The sequence below is a fragment of the Homo sapiens genome, chromosome 7, assembly GCF_000001405.40.
Source record: "Homo sapiens chromosome 7, GRCh38.p14 Primary Assembly".
NCBI lineage: Eukaryota > Metazoa > Chordata > Mammalia > Primates > Hominidae > Homo > Homo sapiens.
In genome coordinates, this window is record NC_000007.14 from 66,485,824 (window position 1) to 66,499,284 (window position 13,461).

Consider the following 13,461-nt stretch of genomic DNA (forward strand, 5'->3'; position numbering starts at 1 on the left):
GCTATAAAAATCTTAGGCCTAAAAGCAAGACATGGATATTATTATTTTTAGCAAAAGTAGCAGAAAATTGTGAAAGAAAATGTCAGTTGCATGCCAGTCAGGTGCGGGCAGTGTTCATGTTTCAAAAGCTAACACTGGCATGACTGACTCAATGTTGGACCCAAATAAATTAAAAAGTGATACATAAAAATACATATAATAGGACGGACGTGGTGGCTCAAGTCTGTAATCCCAGCACTTTGGGAGTCCAAGGCGGGCAGATCACAAGCTCAGGAGTTCAAGACCAGCCTGGCCAATAATGGTAAATCCCCGTCTCTACTAAAAATGCAAAAATCAGCGGGGCATGTTGGTGGACACCTGTACTCCCAGCTACTCGGGAGGCTGAGGCAGGAGAATTGCTTAAAGCTGGGAGGTGGAGGTTGCAATGAGCCGAGATCATGCCACTGCCCTCCAGCCTGGGCGACAGAGCAACACTCCATCTCAAAACAACAACAACAACAACAAAAAACATAAAATAACTCAAACTTAATTAAATATAACCCTAATGGGGAATGATTATTTGTCAACAATAACAAAGATATATTACTCAGAACAGAGATAAGAGTCCAACAAGAATCCAAGAGTCTTACTTTTTAATCACAAAACAAATCCTTTCCTTTCCAAGTAATATCCTCTCAAGGCCAGGAATTCTGTAAGTAGATAGCCTTCTTAAAAAACATTCCTGGCGGGACAAGGTGGTTCATGCCTGTAATCCCAGCATTTTGGGAGGCTGAAGCGGGAGGATCACCTGAGGTCAGGAGTTCAAGACCCACCTGGCCAACATGGTGAAACCCCAACTCTACTAAAAATACAAAAATTAGGAGGGTATGGTGGTGGGTGCCTGTAATCACAGCTACTCAGGAGGCTGAGCTAGGAGAATTGCTTGAATCTGGGAGGCAGATGTTGCAGTGAGCCGAGATCACACCACCGCACTCCACCATGGGTAACAGGAGCGAAACTCTAGCTCAAAAAAAACAAACAAATAAATAAATAAAGAGAAATATCCTATTGCTTTAAGGCAATGTAGACACAGCCAGACTTTCTAAAAAAATCTGAACCACATTATAAAGCCAAAAAAAAAAAAACTGTCTACTTTTATTTAATACATATAGTACTAAATGGAAGAGGTAATATTTTCAAAACATAAACATTAGTGTAACCTTATTGGACTTTTACAAATAATTTTTTAAATAACAGAAGAAGATTCTCATGAACTGCAACATTTCAGCGAGCATTTATTTACTCAAGATTAAAATAATACAACAGCTATAAAGAGTCAAGAGCTGACCAGGTGTGGTGGCTCATGCCTGTAACCCCAGCACTTTGCGAGGCCAAGGCAGGTTGATCACCTGAGGTCAGCAGTTTGAGACCAGCCTGGCCAACATGGTGAAACCCCATATGTACTAAAAATACAAAAATTAGCCAGGCAAGGTGGCACTCGCCTGTAGTTCCAGCTACTGGGGAGGCTGAGGTGAAAGGATCGCTTGAACCTGAGAGGTGGAGGTTGCAGTGAGCTGAGATGGTGCCACTGCACTCCAGCCTGGGTGACAGAGCAAGACTCTCTCTCAAAGAAAAAAAAAAAAAGGTCAAGAGCATGGGAAGTATTAAAATCAAACATAATCAACGGTCTTCCATCAGAACAGCTCCATTTTTTGCTATCATTATGTGTCAATGTCTATTTGCTAAACATCGATATCTATACTAAAGTTTCAAGTGTACTATATAACACATTAGTGCTGACTTAGGTTTAATATCCTTTGCTGTACACTAAACTTCAGTATCATACTTATATATCACAACAAAACTATCTTTCTCTAAGGTAATTACCATTAATATTGCTTTAAAATTATGAAATGTGAAGATTGTTTTTGTAATTTCACAACAGCTGAACATTATTGTCTTTAAACAAAATAATCTAATAAATCACCATCACAACAAAAGCCCCACAACATTAATGTTTCACCTTACAAAAAGCATTGACATTTATAAAATTGTCATAGTCAATTTATAAGACTGTAATAGCAAATTATTTTTACTCAGAATAGTACTAAATTAACAATATAATAAAAACATAATGGTGGCTCACATCTGTAATCCCACTTTGGGAGGCAGGTGGATCACTTGAGGTCAGGAGTTCGAGGCCAGCCGGGCCTACATGGAAAAACTCTTGTCTCTACTAAAAATACAAAAATTAGCTGGTATTAGCTGGGCATAGTGATGTACGCCTGTAATCACAGCTACCTGGGAGGCTGAGGCAGCAGAATTTCTCGAACCAGGGAGGCAGAGGTTGTAGTGAGCTGAGATAGTGCCACTGCACTCCAGCCTGGGTGACAGAGCAAGATTCTGTCTCAATCAATCAATCAATCAACCAATAAAAACATAAGAAGGAAGCATTTACTATGTATTTATATGCCTGGTATTATGTGAAGCACTTTACTATCTTATCAAATCTTTGGGATAAATCTTCAGTTCTCATGAACACAAAAGAGGATACTAAGGCTCAGAAGGAGAAGAGATGTGGCCAGGCTGTGTCCCCAGAGCCTATGATCTCACCACTAGGTTACAGTGCTTCCAAATAACACGTTATGAGGTTTTTGCTTTAAAATGAACCAATAAAAAACAAAGGCAAAAAAGGCATAAGCTATTAAAAAGTAGGAGAAACACTAAAAGAGCCTTAAGCACATAACTAAAAATATTATGGAAAAGTTATTAATTAATTAGCAAATTTACTCTAATTCTAGACTTTCATTGAGGGGTACGTTATATTACTCATGATGAAGAGAAAATGTTCACTTCAAGTATATTAACATAAACACCATTAATATGGTTTATCATGTTTAAATGTTCACTTAAAGCACTTCAGTTAAAATTCTGCGTATCACACAATTCTATAGCTTGCTAGTAGACTGCAAAGTAAATAGTCATTCAAATAAAAACGGCAAAACACATGATGTTTTTCGCAGGTTGTTGCTATTTTTAGGTAAGCATTTGCTATATACCATCAAAGAGATAACAACAAATTGCTAATTTCTTTCATCATTATATAAAGGTGGCTTTAGGATAGAACAGTATAAGGGCAAAGAAGAATTTGAAATCTAACGTCAACTCGGCAATGCATCAAGATAAAAAGTAGAGACAATAGGGGCATCTTGATGAATATCGAATTTTTTTTTTTTAGACAGAATTTTGCTCTTGTTGCCCAGACTAAGAGTGCAATGGTGTGATCTTGGCTCACCACAACCGCCACCTCCCAGGTTCAAGCAATTCTCCTGCCTTGGCCTCCTGCGTAGCTGGGACTACAGGCATGCGCCACCACACCCGGATAATTTTGTGTTTTTAGTAGAGAAAGAGTTTCTCCATGTTGGTTAGTTTGGTCTCGAACTCCCATCTCAGGTGATCCGCCTGCCTCGGCCTCCCACAGTGCTGGGATCACAGGCATGAGCCACCATGCCTGGCCAAATAACAAATTTAACAAAGCAGATTGAGAGAAACAATTAGTTTAAAAAAATAAAAAATGGCCTGGTGAGTTGGCTCACGCCTATAATCCCAGCACTTTGGGAGGCCAAGGTGGGTGGATCACAAGGTCCAGAGTTCAAGACCAGCCTGGCCAAGATCGTGAAACCCCATCTCACCTAAAAATACAAAATTAGTGGGGCGTGGTGGTGGGCACCTGTAATCCCACCTGCTCAGTAGGCTGAGGCAGAGAATTGCTTGAACCTGGCAGACGGAGGTTGCGGTGAGCTGAGATCACACCACTGCACTCCAGCCTCGGCGACAGAGTGAGACTCCATCTCAAAAAAAAAAAAAAAAAAAAAAAAAAAAAATATATATATATATATATATATATATATATATATGTTCAATTAAATCCCTAAGATCCAGGGATTTGCAATAAGCATGTAAATAAATCCCAAATATTATGCTGAAAGTTTAAAAGAAATGCTAATTGATAATTAGAGAAATACAACTTTTCCTTAGCTTTCTAGTAATCTAGAAACAAAGAATGTTTCTAATATTTAGACAGACACTACAAAGTACCTTACAAGGAGAGACGTGTAAGGATGGCGTGACTCACCAGCAGCCCTGGGCTTGTCCACAGTACCCCCATGATGAACAGTAACTCCACTGTGTAAATGCTCATGAACAAACTATTACAGGACTTTTCCAGTTTAGACACACTGTATTTTCTTTCAGACAATTCTTCAACTTGTTTACATAGATCAGCAATAAGATTATTCCATTTCTCTGAAAATTGACCAAAAGTTGATTCTCAATACATCCCTATGTCAAAGCAGCAATAACATATAATGACTTATTTTCTATATTTTACATCCTAACAGATCATATCATTTTACTGCTTTTGAAAAAATTTTTCCCCTTTTTGGTGGTTCTTAGAATTACTTTAAAGGGAGACTATAAGAGAAGTTTTAAAGTTTAGTACCTCTTTTTAGTCTTTTAATTCTGAAAAGCAGAAGGGCAGAGAAGATCAATCAAATTAAACACAACAGCAGGGAGGCCACAATGAGGTCTCCAGGGGTCTTTTAGCAAACTTCCTAAAACATGTCTCAGCTGTGTGGAAATAAGATTTTACAGTGGTGGTGGTGCAGGCCTGTAATCCTAGCCCTTTGGAAGCAGAGGCAGGGCAGATCCTTTGAGCTAAGGTCAACACAGCAGAAACCCCCCCTCCCCTCCCCGACCCCCCAGTCCCATCCCCGTCTCCACCAAAAATACAAAAGTTAGCCAGGTGTGGTGGCAGACAGCTGCAGTCCCAGCTACTTGGGAGGCTGAGGCAGAATTGCTTGAACCCAGGAGGCAGATGTTACAGTGGGCCGAGACGGTGCCACTGCCAGCCTGGATGACAGAGCAATACTCCGTCTCAAAAAACAAAAACAAAAACACCAGGTTAAGAGAGACCCCAGACCTTACAGATACAAGTTTAACAGGGACCCCAAAGCAAAAAATCCCAACCCTTTTTCTCCCAATCATTGAAACACCAGGAGGGTGTAATAGTTTTGCAGCCTAGCTGTAGTAGGCTGATGCCCCCAAGATGCCCACATCATAATCCCTGGAACCAGTGAACATGACCTTATATGGCAAAAGGGGCTTTGCAAGTATAATGAAGTTAAGAGTCTTTGGCCAGCTTGTCCCCACAGGGTTTATGTACTCACCTGGATCCTTATAAGAGCAGAGCAGGTGATGGAGAGCGGTGGGAGGTGTAGTGATGAAAGCAGGAAACGCGAGTCATTCGAGAAGGGCAGCACAAGCTGAGGAGTACAGGCCGCCTCCAGGGCCAGGAAACGGATTCTCCCGCAGAGCCTGGAAAGGCACTGACCCTGCTCCCACCTTGACTCAGTGGGACTGACTTTAGAATTCTGGCCTTCAGAAATGTAAAGGAATACCTCTATGCTGTTTTAAGCCACTAAGTGTGTGGTAATTTATTGCGGCAGCAACGGGGAACTAGTATTGTAGTGAAGCCTCAATACCCACCTGAAGGGGCCAGGCGCAGTGGCTCACGCCTGTAATCCCAGCACTTTGGGAAGCCGAGGTGGGCAGATTACTTCAAGTCAGGAGTTCCAGACCAGCCTGGCCAACATGGTGAAACCCCGTCTCTACAAAAATTAGACAGGTGTGGTGGCGCATGCCTGCAATCTCAGCTACTCAGGAAGCTGAAACATGGGAATCACTTGAACCCGGCAGGGGGCGGGGGAGGGGGTGAAGGTTGAAGTGAGCCAAGATCATGCCACTGCACTCCAGTCTGGGAGACAGAGTGAAACTGTGTCTCAAAAAAAAAAAAAAAAAAAAAGGAAAAAAGAAAATGGCTTTGGCAGAGGGGCTGGCCAGGCAGTGCCTTCCCTTGGGTTTCTCCTGGGTAGGCCTCTGCCATGAGGAGGCGCTTCCTTCTGCCTGTCCATGGCCCACAGCAAAGGAATGTCTGCTTCTGGGGGTTGGATGGGGGACTGCTGGCAGAACTGGAAACCTTCTTCAGGTGGGTTTTTTTTTTTTTTTTGAGACGGAGTCTCACTCTGTCACCCAGGCTGGAGGGCAGTGACACAATCTCAGCTCACTGCAACCTCTACCTCCCCAGTTCAAACGATTCTCCTGCCTCAACCTCCCGAGTAGCTGGGATTACAGGAGCATAGCATACCTAGCTAATTTTTGTATTTTTAGTAGAGACAGGGTTTTGCCATGTTGCCCAGGCGGGACTCGAACTCCTGGCCTCAAGTGATCCACCTGTCTCAGCCTCCCAAAGTGTTGGGATTACAGGCATGAGCCACCGCCCCCAGCACTCGTCAAGGTCTTTGATGGCAGGTTTTTCCAGGTGATCAGTCCTTGTCTGGTCTGGCTCTGTCCCACTCTCCCTCTCACCAAGTTCGAACCCCTAGCTAGTTTTCAGAGGAGTAGAGTGTGTACCCCAATCCCAACTGGGTATGGTTCAGATCTGCATTTAACTCATGAAGCCTGGCTGCTCCGCAGGTCCTGGAGAAAAAAAGAGTCTCGCTGCAGGTATGATACAGGACAGGCTTGTCCCCAGGACCCGCCTGTCCCCAGGAAGAGGGAAGCCCAATGTCCCACCAGGTTGGCAGGGCTGGGGAAGGGAAAGTGTTATAGTAGCCCCAAGACTAAAAAGAGGCAGCAGAGGGAGCAGGACAGTGCTCCCATGGAACTCAAGCCGCTGCCTGAGTGAGGTGAGGGAAGAGTGCACCCACTGACATCAGGGGGCAGAGAGGTGCGGTTCCAGCGCGGCTTTTCCCCTTGCGTCTTGCCATGTGACTCTGATCCCCTCCAGGTGAGCCTGCCCACTTTGGGCCCAGGGTTGCCGCTGGGGCCTGTACCCAAAAGCAGCCCCCCATGGCCATGACCCCACTCCCAGGAGTGGGGCAGAGCAGGGAGGAGTCCTGGAAAGAGGAGACGCAGGGACAAGAAGGAATGGGCCTCAAACTCCAGGAGGGGGACCTTCTCATGGGTCCTGTTTTCTGGTCTCTCCTCGCTTACCCCTGGGCTGATCACCCTGGGAAGAACTGAGCCAAGGTTTCTCACCCTCAGGTCCAAGGGGTTCAATTACCGGGCCCTTAGGGAGATGCGAGCCCCCTAAAACGATGCAAAGTTCCTGGCCTAATTTTTATATTTTTAGTAGACATGGGGTTTCACCCATGTCTACTGATCGGAATGCCTCGAGCACACAAAATGTTGGAATTTACAGGCGTGAGCCAACGTGCCCGGCCAGCCCTATTTATTTCAGCCTATACATTTTGCACTTGTTAAAAGTATTTGAACATACAATTATCATGTTTTCTTTAAGCAGTCCCTCCCTGTTGTACACTTGGATAGTTTATTTTTTTAGACAAGGTTTACCTCCGTCTCGCAGGATGGAGTGCTGTGATGGGATCATAGCTCATTGCAGCCTTGAACCTTGGGGTTCAAGTATCTGGGAAGCTGAGGTGGGACTACAGAGATGGGGTCGCGCCATGTTGCCCAGGCAGCTCTTTAACTCCTGGCCTGAACGGATCCTTCCGCCTCGGCCGAGCCTGGACATAGTTTTCTAGTTTTGACCCACAGAAACACTGTGCTGGGTCGGAGTTTGTCAACCACCCTTCTCCAGCCAGCAACACACAGAACATGGCGGGGAAGTCGCGGTTACCAGGCTCCACTCCGAGGAAAAACCAGCGCAGCTCCAGGCACTGTAGCGCCACTGTGACGTCGCCGAAGGCCGGCGCTATTACGACGCCGGAAGGCCCGCGCCTGTGACGTCAGCTGAGGCGCGCCCCTGTGATATCTCACAGGCCCGCCCCTTCTGTAGAACCAATCGGAACTCGAGGCGCAGCGGCTGGGTATTCCAGGAGAGCGCATGCGCAGACGCATGGCCACAGACTGCCGGTCAGTGTCAGCAGGCGGTGGGTTAGGGTCCGCAGGCCCAGACCAGGCCGCCGACACCAATAAGCTACAAGGAGGAGCTTTACCGCTGCCTGTACTACTACTGCCTGCGCTACTTCCCAGCCTGCGGCGTAGGGCGCAGCAAGGGCCTGACGCTTAGCGAGCAGGCGCTGCGCACCAAGCGGCTGTCGCCTGGAGGGCACGTTCAGGCAGAAGCTCCTCAGTGGCCACAAGTCCGCTAGCTCCGGCTACAGCCCTTGCCGCACACTCGCGTCACCTGAGCCTGTGTAGGTGCGCCCCCCAACTCCTCCCCCAGCCAGGTCCCGGGGACGCCGGCAGCGTCCCCCACCCCTGGCGCCGCTCATCCTGGGCAGGATCGGCCCCGTCTGAGGCTGCACCGCATTAGGGAGCTGCACCCCTCGGCTTGACCTCTGATGGCCGTTGCAACAACATCAAAGCCTTTGGAACTTTGTAGGGGGTACGAGGGGCTAGGAAACCAAGAAAACATCTTTTTAAAAATATAAGCGATCGGGCCGGGCGCGGTGGCTCACGCCTGTAATCCCAGCACTTTGGGAGGCCGAGACAGGTGGATCACGAGGTCGGGAATTCAAGACCATCCTGGCCAGCATGGTGAATCCCGTCTCTACTAAAAATGCAAAAATTAGCCGGGCGTGGTGGCGGGCACATGTAATACCAGCTATTCGGGAGGTTGAGGCAGAGGCAGACAATTGCTTGAACCCGGGAGGCAGAGGCTGCAGTTAGCCGAGATCGTGCCACTGCACTCTAGCCTGGGCGACAGACCAAGACTCCGTCTAAAAAATAAAAAACTATATATATGTGTGTGTATATATATATATATATATGCGATGGAGCCCGGGAGGTTGAGGTTACTGTGAGCCGAGATTACACCACTGCACTTCAGCCTGGGTGACAGAGGGAGACCCTGTCTCTAAAAAAAAAATATATGCAAGTGAGAGCTTTTCTTCCAGTGCTCATGCTCAGACTGAAGAAAGTTATTGGGCCGGCCCAGTGGCTCACACCCGTAATCCCAGCACTTTGGGAGGCCTAGGTGGGCGGATCCCTTGAGCTCAGGCGTTCCAGACTAGCTTGGGCAACATGGTGAAATTCGGTCTCTACAAAAATACAAAAAATTATCTGGGCGTCGTGGTGGGCGCCTGTAGTCCCAGCTACTCAGGAGGCTGAGGCAGGAGAGTGGTGTGAACCCGGGAGGCGGAGCTTGCAGTGAGCGGAGATCGCTCCACTGCACTCCAGCCTGGGCCACAGAGCGAGACTCCATCACACACACACACAAAAAATTAGCTGGGCATGGTGGCACGGGCTTGTAGTCCCCTCTGCTTGCGGGGCTGAGGCGGGAGGATCGCTTGAGCCCAGGAGGTGGAGGCTGCAGTGAGCGGTGATCTCGCCACTGCACTCCAGCCTGGTCGACAGAGTGAGACACTGTGTCAAAAAAAGAAAAAAGAGAAAGTAACTGATCTGTGTTTTTGTCTGATTTCCTACAGGATGCCGAAGGACCTGTTCAAAGTATTTTCTGTAACTCCAACTGTAACTTGGTTCTAGGAGGAGAGAATCCATGTTTGGTCAACAGAACTTTTCGCCGCCACTTAAGTTTACTGCTTCAATATCTTTTCCTTACTAATTGATTGTTAATTAAGTAGTGTCCAAGTGAGTTAGCCTTTTTAGGGTTGATTAATTAAAAGAGCAGCAAGAATGGCATTTTAACTCTTCTGGTTTTTGGGGTTTTTTTTTCAGTTACTATGATAACTCTTTTCAAGTCCACAAATGATTTGTTCTTAGCTGTAAAGAAGAGGTCAGAAATGTAAGTGGGGAGAGAACAAAGATAGGAATATGTGTAAGATTTCTACCTAAATGTTGGCAGGGCACGGTAGCTTATGTCTGTAATCCCAGCACTTTGGGAGACCTAGGTGGTCGATCGCCTGGAGTCAGAAGTTCGAGACCAGCCTGGCAAACATGGCAAAACCCCATCTCTACTAAAAATACAAAAATTAGATGGGCGTGGTGGTGGGCGCCTTTAGTCCCAGCTACTTGGGAGGCTGAGGCAGGAGAATCGCTTGAACCTGTGAGGCCAATGTTGCGGTGAGCCAAGATCATGCCACTGCGCTACAGCCTGGGCAACAAAGCAAGACTCCATCTAAAAAAAAGACTTCTACCTAAATGTCACAGACTACTCTGAAGGTTAATATTTGGTATTGTGATGTATATTGCACAGTGTGTCAACCTCAAATAATCAAAAGGGTCAGAATCTAAAGGGAGTTTATTCATGCACAGAGTTTAAGGAGAGCCACCTGGGAAGCGCAGGTACCCAAGGGTGGAAGACAGTGTTCCAAGGCTTAGAAGTTTGGGATCACTTGCATAGACAAAGTTTAGGGAAGTTTAGCAGAATTTCAGCATCTCTCCGTTTAAGGCTTAATACGTAGTTAAAACAATCTGATTGGTTCAGGTGGTCTTTCTTTGACTCTGTCACCCAGGCTGAGTGCAGTGGTGCAATCGCAACTCATTACAGCCTCAGCCTCCTGGCTCAAGTGATCCTCCCACCTCAGCATCCCTAGTAGCTGGGACTACAGGCGTGCACCAACACACCTGACTAATTTTTGTATTTTTTGTAGAGACAGGGTTTCACCACATTGCCCAGGCCAGTCTCAAATTCCTGGGCTTAAGCAGTCCACTCACCTCAGCCTCCCAAAGTACCGGGATTACAGGCATGAGTGACGGCGCCCAGACTAGGTGGTCTTTTTTCCGGGAAAGGTGTATTTTACCTTCTACACTGAAGATGTAAGTCATGGGGTCTTTTGTGCCATCTGGTGTGAGGTACAGAACAATAAAGGAGGCAGTTAATGTGTAATAAAGATGAGTGATTGGAAGGAGAGTAGGACTAGTCTCTGGTCTCTCATAGTCATTTACCGAATGAAAATAATAAGGAAGGAATAAATTATAATTTAAGAAGCAGAAGTGGCCGGGCGCGGTGGCTCACACCTGTAATCCCAGCACTTTGGGAGGCTGAGGCAGGTGGATCATGAGGTCAGGAGATCGAGACCAGCCTGGCTAACACAGTGAAACCCCGTCTCTACTAAAAACACAAAAAATTTGCTGGGCTTGGTGGCGGGCACCTGTAGTCCCAGCTACTTGGGAGGCTGAGGCAGGAGAATGGCGTGAACCCGGGAGGTGGAGCTTGCAGTGAGCTGAGATCCTGCCACTGCACTCTGACCCGGGCGACAGAGCGAGACTCCGTCTCAAAAAAAAAACAGAAGCAGAAGTTGCAAACATGCTATGTGACTCGGTCAGGGTGTAACTTCCCTCCTGGCATGATAAATTTATAGAGGGTCCTGAAACTTTTTTTTATTTTATAGTTGCTAGGTTCTCTGCACTGTCAATCCCATAACAATTCTTCGAGGTAGATACTGCTATCCACTTTTTGTTTGTTTGTTTTTGAGACAGAGTCTTGTTCTGTCATCCAGGCTGGAGTGCAGTGGCATGATCTCGGCTCACTGCAACCTCTGCCTCCTGGGTTCAAGCAATTCTCCAACCTCAGCCTCCCCAGTAGCTGGGATTACAGGTGCCCACTACCACACCCAGCTAATTTTTGTGTTTTTAATAGAGACCACGTTTCACCTTGTTTACCAGGCTGGTCTCGAACTCCTGGCCTCAGATGATTCACCCGCCTTGGCCTCCCAAAGTGCTGGGATTACAAGCATGAGCCACCACGCCCTGCCCACATTTTAGAAAATGAATTATAAGGCACAGAGAGTTCAAGTACCTTTCCAAAGATGACACAGCTAATTAGACAGCAGACTAGGTGACCTGACCCCAGGACTTTTGCCCTTGACCTCTGCACTACCTTGTTGAGCAGAGCAGTAAATATTTCATACATAGCTTTATCCAGAATTTTCCTGTTGGTTGTGGTAAACCATGTTTTGTTGTTTTGAGACAGGCTCTTCTTCTGTTGCCCAGGCTGCTGGTGTGCAGCGACACAAACACTGCTCACTGCAGCCTTAACCTCCTGGGCTCAGGCTATCCATTTCAGCTTCCGGAAGTGCTGGGATTACAGGAATGTGCCATCATGCCTGGCCTCACACTACATTTTAATGCTTTTTTTGAAAATGAAAACTTTTGGCCAGGCACAGTGACTCTCACCTGTAATCCCAGCACTTTGGGAGGCTGAGGCGGGCGGATCACGAGGTCAGGAGATTGAGACCATCCTGGCTAACATGGTGAAACCCCATCTCTACTAAAAAATACAAAAAATTGGCCAGGCATGGTGGCGGGTGCCTGTAGTCCCAGCTACTTGGGAGGCTGAGGCAGGAGAATGGTGTGAACCCGGGAGGTGGAGCTTGCAGTGAGCCAAGATCATGCCACTGCACTCCAGCCTGGGCAACAGAGTGAGACTCCATCTCAAAAAAAAGAAAATGGAAACTTTTACCAGTGATTCCCTTCCTTCAAACTAATGATAAGGAAATGATGCTGTTCTGTTTTGTTTTCTTTTTGCATGTTTTTTTTTTCTTTTTTGAGAGAGGTTCTTGCTCTGTTGCCCAGGCTGGAGTGAGGTGGCGCAATCATGGCTCACTGCAGCCTCGACCTCCCAGACTCAAGCAATCCTTCCCCCAGCCTCCTAAGTAGCTGAGACTACAGGTTGTGCTACCACAGTTGGCTAATTTTTGTATTTTTTGTAGAGACAGGGTTTCACCATGTTGCCCAGGGTGGTCTCAAACTCCTGGGCTCAGCTATCCTCCACCCTTGGCCTCCCAAAGTGCTGGGATTACAGGCGTGAGCCACTGTACTTGGCTGATGCTGTTCTTTTCAAACGCATATTTACTTTTTTTTTTTTCTTTTTTTTTTTTTTTTTTTTTGAGATGGAGTCTCACTCTGTCTCCCCGGCTGGAGTGCAGTGGTGCAATCTTGACTCACTGCAGCCTGGTCTTGAACTCCTGACCTCAGATGATCCACGTGCCTTGGCATCCCAAAGTGCTGGGATTACAGGTGTGATCCACCACACGTGACGATTTTGCTCATTTTAGATACTAGAACTTGTTAATTAAAAAAAAAAATTTTTTTTTTTGAGCTGGAGTGCAGTGGTGTGATCTCGGCTCACTGCCACCTCCGCCTCCTGGGTTCAAGCGATTCTCCTGCCTCAGCCTCTCGAGTAGCTGGGACTACAGGCACATGCCACCATGCCCAGCTAATTTTTGTATTTTTAGTAGACAGGGTTTCACCATGTTGGCCAGGATGGTCTTGATCTCTTGACCTCGTGATCCGCCTGCCTCGGCCTCCCAAAATGCATGAGCCACTGCACCCGGCCAAAAAAAATGTTTTTTGAGGCAAAATCTTACTCTGTCATGCAGGCTGGAGTACAGTGGCACAGTCACAGCTCACTGCAGCCTCGAATTCCTTGACTCAGGTGATTCTCCCACCATAGTCTCCAAGTATCTGGGACTACAGGTGCACGCCGCCACCACACCCAGCTAATTTTTGTTTGTTTATTTTGTTTTTTGAGATAGAGTCTCACTCTGTTGCCCA

General features: G+C 46.7%; 1 long non-coding RNA gene across 4 annotated transcripts, besides 2 other annotated features; it reads left to right on the forward strand.

Annotated features, from left to right (window-relative positions):
- Window positions 5,398-6,003: an enhancer, noted in NCBI's record as "OCT4-NANOG-H3K27ac-H3K4me1 hESC enhancer chr7:65956208-65956813 (GRCh37/hg19 assembly coordinates)". NCBI's record gives its function as "activates a minimal SCP1, AML or CMV promoter by ChIP-STARR-seq in primed H9 embryonic stem cells {active_cell/tissue: H9 hESC(primed)}" and the evidence as "EXISTENCE:reporter gene assay evidence [ECO:0000049][PMID:30033119]".
- Window positions 7,498-7,707: an enhancer, noted in NCBI's record as "active region_26083". NCBI's record gives its function as "activates an Ori minimal core promoter by ATAC-STARR-seq in GM12878 lymphoblastoid cells {active_cell/tissue: GM12878}" and the evidence as "EXISTENCE:reporter gene assay evidence [ECO:0000049][PMID:35858748]".
- On the forward strand, window positions 7,809-9,651 carry LINC03011 (long intergenic non-protein coding RNA 3011). 4 transcript variants are annotated; one of them, NR_134573.1, is made up of 2 exons: window positions 7,809-7,914; window positions 9,432-9,651. It is a non-coding gene; the product is annotated as a long intergenic non-protein coding RNA 3011 (long non-coding RNA). The 4 variants fall into 4 exon arrangements; NR_134570.1 differs by having other exon boundaries at window positions 7,868-8,389; NR_134571.1 differs by having other exon boundaries at window positions 7,868-8,202.
- The last annotated feature ends 3,810 nt before the right edge of the window (window positions 9,652-13,461 follow it).